This window comes from Homo sapiens, chromosome 5, assembly GCF_000001405.40.
Source record: "Homo sapiens chromosome 5, GRCh38.p14 Primary Assembly".
Lineage (NCBI taxonomy): Eukaryota > Metazoa > Chordata > Mammalia > Primates > Hominidae > Homo > Homo sapiens.
The window spans coordinates 28482477-28488867 of NC_000005.10; the positions used below are offsets into that span (position 1 = coordinate 28482477).

Here is a 6391-nt window from a genome sequence, read left to right on the forward strand (position 1 = left end):
AAAATTTATTGGTCTTCGTATATTCCTTGTAAGGTCTTCATACATCTCAAGGGTTAAAAACACCCCAATTTGAAGATTTATTATTCCAGAAAGGAAATCAAAGTAAGACACTTTTTCTCTGAGAATCTGATGACCTTTAATTTTACTTTCTGAAGGAAGCATTCCTTTGTAACATAAATTAGTGAAACCTTCACATAAAGCAGCAAATGTTAGCAAAAATTTTCGAGGCCAACTTGTTAATAGAAAATATTATTTAAAAAGGATTTACTTTTCAAAGAGTACTTACAAATAGGGAAAAAAACAAAAATCTCATTAAGCTCAAATAGTTACATAGGCCAAATACTGAAATGCTAATTCACTAAATGTAAATAACTATTACAATATCAACAAAAATGATTGATATTCACCAATAATTTTTAAACACAAAATAATAATAAATTACCTGTTACGCTTAGGAGACATTGAAAAATATGTGATCTAAGATGGTAGAAACATATATAATCTTATTTTGTTAAATATATCATGAATCACTGTGGTAAAGAGGTCTTTTCCACTTTTCTTATGCACCAGATTTGTTCATTAAAGACAAATACCTAAGACAACTATTTCATCCCTTTTGAGTACATCACTTGGCTACTTATCTGTGACGAAGGAATTGTTGTCAATCTGATTGGTCAGCACTTGAAAAGTTTTATTAGGCTATATTTCACTAGTGATTGGGGTTTTGCAACTTAAGTTAATAATTTTGGGTGTATCTTCTCTATTTTCCTTCTCATTCCTATCTGTTGAACTAAACTCATCAGGATCTGTGTTTTTGGTTCAGACTAAAGCAGGATCTTCTCTCTTTTCCATCCTTTCCCTTATAGCAGGATGAGTCCGTTGAGATTTGGAGGTAGTAGTGAAACAGAAAATTTTCCCTAATCCCTTTGCGGGTAGGAACTGGAGTGCAGGTGCTGGAGCTAGCTGGCCTCTTCAGCGCTGGCAGGGGCAAACTTTGTTCCCTCAAACCTGCTATGCGCAGCCACTCGTGGGAGGGAGCATGCTGGTGAGTGGGTGCAGAAGCTGGGCCAAGTGCTTTTGTGTGCCAGCAGGAACGAACTCCTTACCAACCCCACGGCAGCATCTAGCGGGGGTGCCTGCGACCCCTGAAGCCCCAGAGGGTGTGTGTTATGGTACTCTTTAAACTCTGCTGTCCGTGGATGGCTTCAGTGTTAACAGCTTAGCGTGACAGTCTTTTGCATCCGCAGTCATAGTACCCAAGCTCTTATTCAGTGTCCAGGAAGAATCAGGTCACACGAATGAATTGAAGGGTGATGAATGTGGAGAATGTTATTGCCAATGAAAATAGCTCTCAGCAGGAAGGAGAGCTGGAAAGGTGATGGAGCGGAAAGGTGTTCTTCCCCTGAAGTCATGCCATCAAGCCGTCCCTCTGAAGTCAAGCCACTTCTCTCCGACGTCCAACCGCAGTCTCCAATGCCCAGCTGCTTCGCCTATCGACGTTCAGCTGCTTCTCCTTTCTACTGTCTAAGCCTGGGGTTTTTATGAGCACACGATAGGGGCCGGGGCGGGCCATAGGTGGTTTTGGAAAAGGCAACATTCAAGCAGGAAAATAGGAATGTAATGTCCTCACTTTGGGCCTCAGTTCCAGGCTTGAGGGTGGGGCCCTTGCTGGGAACCCACTCTCTTCTGCCCAGAATTTTCCTGCCTCCTGTCCCTATCAGCAGAAGAGTAAAAAGTCAGGTCCTAGAACTCCCTAGAATGAATTCTTCAATCCACACTTCTCAGAAAGTGCAGTATTTACTGTCACTGGGATCTTGCCAGTTTTATTTACTGTCACTGGGATCTTGCCAGTTTTATTTACTGTCACTGGGATCTTGCCATACGTTTTAGTTAACGTGGGAATTAATTCCATTTTTCAACTAGAGTTAAAAAGCCATATGCAGAAAACTGAAACTGGACCCCTTCCTTATACCTTATAAGAAAATCAACTCAAGATGGATCAAGACTTAAATGTAAGACACAGAACCATAAAAAGCCTAGAAGAAAACCTAGGCAATACCGTTCAGGACGTAGGCATGGACAAAGACTTCATGTCTAAAACACCAAAAGCAATGGCAACAAAAGCCAAAATTGACAAATGGGACCTAATTAAACTAAAGAACTTCTACACAGCAAAAGAAACTATCATCAGAGTGAACAGGCAACCTGCAGAATGAGAGAAATTTTTGCAATCTATCCATCTGACAAAGGGCTAATATCCAGAATCTACAAAGAACTTAAACAAATTTACAAGAAAAAACAAAACACCCCATCAAAAAGTGGACAAAGGAATTGAACAAACACTTCTCAAAAGAAGACACTTATGCAGCCAACAAACATATGAAAAAATGCTCATCATCTCTGGTCATTAGAAAAATGCAAATCAAAACCATAATGAGATACTATCTCATGCCATTTAGAATGGCGGTCATTAAAAAGTCAGGAAACAACAGATGCTGGAAAGGATGTGGAGAAATAGGAACACTTTTACACTGTTGGTGGGAGTGTAAATTACTTCAACAATATGGAAGACAGTGTGGTGATTCCTCAAGGATCTAGAACTAGAAATACCAGCAATCCCATTACTGGGTATATACCCAAAGGATTATAAATCATGCTACTATAAAGACACATGCACACTTATGCTTATTGCAGCAATATTGACAATAGCAAAGACTTGGAACCAACCCAAATGTCCATCAATAATAGACTGGATAAAGAAAATGTGGCACATACACATCATGGAATACTATGCAGCCATAAAAAAAGATGAGTTCATGTCCTTTACAGGGACATGGATGAAGCTAGAAACCATCATTCTCAGCAAACTATTACAAGAACAGAAAACCAAACACTGCATGTTCTCACTCATAAATAGGAGTTGAACAATGAGAATACATGGATGTAGGGAGGGGAACATCACACACTGGGGCCTGTTGGGGGATGGGGGACTAGGGAAGGGATAACAATAGGAGAAATACCTAATGTAGGTGACAGGTTGATGGGTGCAGCAAACCACCATGGCATGTGTATACCTATGTAATAAAACTGCATGTTCTGCACATGTACCCCAGAACTTAAAGTACAATAAAAAAAAAAAAAAGCAAAAAAGAAAGGTACATCTTTCATTGCAGTAGTCCTAAACTGCTTTATCTTAAAATAAAAAGAATTACAAACTAATGTATTTATCATATAATTTACATTTATATAAATATTAAATGACTTTTAAGACTGGGTCAAATGTAATCATACCTATAAACAAAGATTAACTCAGATACTTAGCAATATGATTGTGATTAAGTATATTATCATATAACTCAATAACATTTTGTATGTAATGTAAAATTCTGTGTTTTTAATCCAGCTAAAACATGGAAATGTTTAACAGACTATTTGGAGAAAAATCCAGATAAAGCATTATTTATAAGTTCAATTATATAGAAAGAAGCTTACATTCATAAAAAGGAAATAAATTTTTTTAAAAAGACAAATATTGTGTTTCTGTTGTCAGATCTTCTTCTCTATTTTCACAATTTACTAAGGAGCTTAGTAATGAGTTTAAATGAGTATTGCAATTCAGTTGTACAAAATTGCCAATAAAGGACAAAAAGCAAACTATGCAATTTTTGTGGAACTCAATATACCTTACAATATTTCTCATTTTCAATGTCCTCTTATATCCACTAATAAGGTCTTTTTTATTTTACTTTTGAGTTTAGATCTTTATTTTTACTCATTTTTAGATATTTCTCCTTTAAGAAATATATAAATACATTTTCTTTTGTATCTATAATTCTTAGGGTGACATACATTTATGTATGTTTGATGGCTTCATATCACGTCATTTGATTTTAGATTTATTCTGAATGAATTCTTCAGTGGTATTTTTTTGCAGTGACTTTTCAAGAATATTACAATACTTTTCAAAGACATAATAGAGTTAACTGCAGTCTGAAGGCCCTTGGCTCTTTTGAAGGCATTTCACTGCTATTTTCTGTTGATATTGTCATTATAATTTGCATTAAGTGACATTTTGAATACAATATACAAATGTTTGTGCCCTTAAAGTTTCACCATGCATTTTTCATGCTCAAATTTTGTTAAATGTCTCTCTTTTCGTCTGATTTTAGAGTTCCCTGAGACAATAGAGAGGAAATATGCCAATATTAATATGTAAGTGTTTATATTATCTTGTTCAGATTTATTGGGTAAGCATATGCTTAAGAAATTATTGCTTATTGTGAGCGACTTCTGGGTCAAGTTTAAGGACAATTGTTCGTGTTATTATTAAGAGTATAAATAGACCCAATCATGTATACATAATTAGCATGATATTTGTTGAATAAAATAACAATACTAATGCATTTTACTTCATATTTTCCAAAATAATATTTTATTTCCCTTTATTTTGGTTAATGTTTTTCTCAACTTTTACTACACACACTGCTATATTTAAAATGTTGATGCCCACCCTGCCGACTGACTTCATATGTTAAAATCCTTACTGTTAAGGGGATGATATTAGGAAGTGGGGCCTTTAGGGGCATTTAGATCATGAGCATGGAGCACTTATAAATGAGATTAGTGCTCCTATAAAAAATGCTTAAGAGAAACTCCTCATTCTTTTCCCCATGTGAGGAGGCAGCCAGAAAGAACCATCTATAATCCAGAAGTTGGGCCCCCACAAGGCAATGGATTTGCTGGTGCCCCAAAGTTGGACTTCCCAGCCTGGAGAATTATGAGGGATAAATTTCTGTTGTTTGTAAGTCACTCAATATATGGAATTTTGTTAAAGCTGCCCAACAGGACTAAGACATACACTAAGGAATGAAAGACATTCTCTACCTCTATGTTTTGTTCTCAAATTTAAATAAAATAAATATAATACAGAAATTTAAACGGTATAAAGCTGCATATACTAGTGTGAAATAATGTCACCCCAAGAACCAAAGAGCAGCACATTTTTCTCTATTCCCCTCACAAAGCCCTAAGTGAAGTGAAGAATTGGGTGCATTAATCATGAGACAGAAACAAACTGGAAGCACCAAAGCATTGCTGCAGGTGGGCTTTGCCTGCTCTGTCATTTCAAATTCCCTTACTCTTTTATGTGTTGATTTGTCCTCCTCAACTTTCCCCAGGTTTCATACTTTTTCCTACAACCTATTCCTCTATGCCAGAATCATCTGGTCTCAATCCATTTATCTCATGAATCTGGGATGGATTTTTGACTGTTGACACAGCAGATTGCAGAAATCAGACTTGGAGTGTGACCTTTTAAGAGACTTCCACTCATGTATTTCATCTTTAATATCCACAGAGCACAAGTCACAAGCAATTCTCCCTCCAGTGATTACATGAGAACGGCATAAATAATCGCCAAATTTTTTTTATCACGTTAATTCTCACACTAAGTGTATTATTTCCTAGCCTTTTATGGTAAAGATTTTATTTCAGTTACCCAGAGGCTGCATGTAATTTTGTACTTGGAGAATTCCTTGTTGTTTTTGTTTTGCTTATATCAAAATCCCACTTATCCTCATAGGAACAAATAATGCTTGATAATCATTTCTCCTTTTCTCTCTTGCAATTTAAAATTAATGAGTAAAAATAATGCAGTCGTGTTTCATGTATTAAGTGTTTTATTTATTTAAAATTTTTTATTCTTCAAAAAAATCCTGTGAGGTGACCACTGTATATATATACATATATAATTTCTTTTTTTGTACAGATGAGGAGTCTGAGGTACAGAGAGGTTAAGAAACTTGCAGAAGTCCAGACAGCTTTTCAGTGTGGTAGATGGGCAGTGCAGCATCACAGTCTGTGGTCTTAATCACACAATGGCAAGGCCCCCGAGTACTATGAATACCCAGTTATGTGCCTTAAATGTTACTGGTGGAAGGTATCCAAGTTACCGGTGGCAAAGTCATACAAGTCTGCAGCAACCTCAATTCTTGCCTCTTCAGAAGAAATGATTTGACTAAGGGAATAAGGCAAAACAAGAGACCAAGGTAATTTTCAGAGAAGGAGTGTACATTTATTTAAAAAGGCTTCAGACAGGAGGGAAATTATGCTTGGAAGAGACCCAAGTGCGCATGTGAGGGTCAAGTGCAATGTTTAACTTGGATCCTAGGACTTATAGGCTGGCCCCTTTCCATTGATTCTTCCCTTAGGATGGGCTGACCACATGTGTAGTGCCCTCTTTACACTTGAGAGGTGAGCACATTCAGTGTGTTTAGGAAGTTGTATGCATGCCCATCTGAGGCTTTCTTCCCTTTTCCCGTGGAGTGCCCCTGGAAGATCATGCTCTGCCATTTTATCTCTTAATGCACATACTCAGGAAGTTGCTTCTCCC

General features: G+C 36.8%; 2 annotated features.

Moving 5' to 3' along the window:
• Positions 561–1061: an enhancer, noted in NCBI's record as "H3K4me1 hESC enhancer chr5:28483144-28483644 (GRCh37/hg19 assembly coordinates)". NCBI's record gives its function as "activates a minimal SCP1, AML or CMV promoter by ChIP-STARR-seq in naive H9 embryonic stem cells {active_cell/tissue: H9 hESC(naive)}" and the evidence as "EXISTENCE:reporter gene assay evidence [ECO:0000049][PMID:30033119]".
• Positions 1062–1562: an enhancer, noted in NCBI's record as "H3K4me1 hESC enhancer chr5:28483645-28484145 (GRCh37/hg19 assembly coordinates)". NCBI's record gives its function as "activates a minimal SCP1, AML or CMV promoter by ChIP-STARR-seq in naive H9 embryonic stem cells {active_cell/tissue: H9 hESC(naive)}" and the evidence as "EXISTENCE:reporter gene assay evidence [ECO:0000049][PMID:30033119]".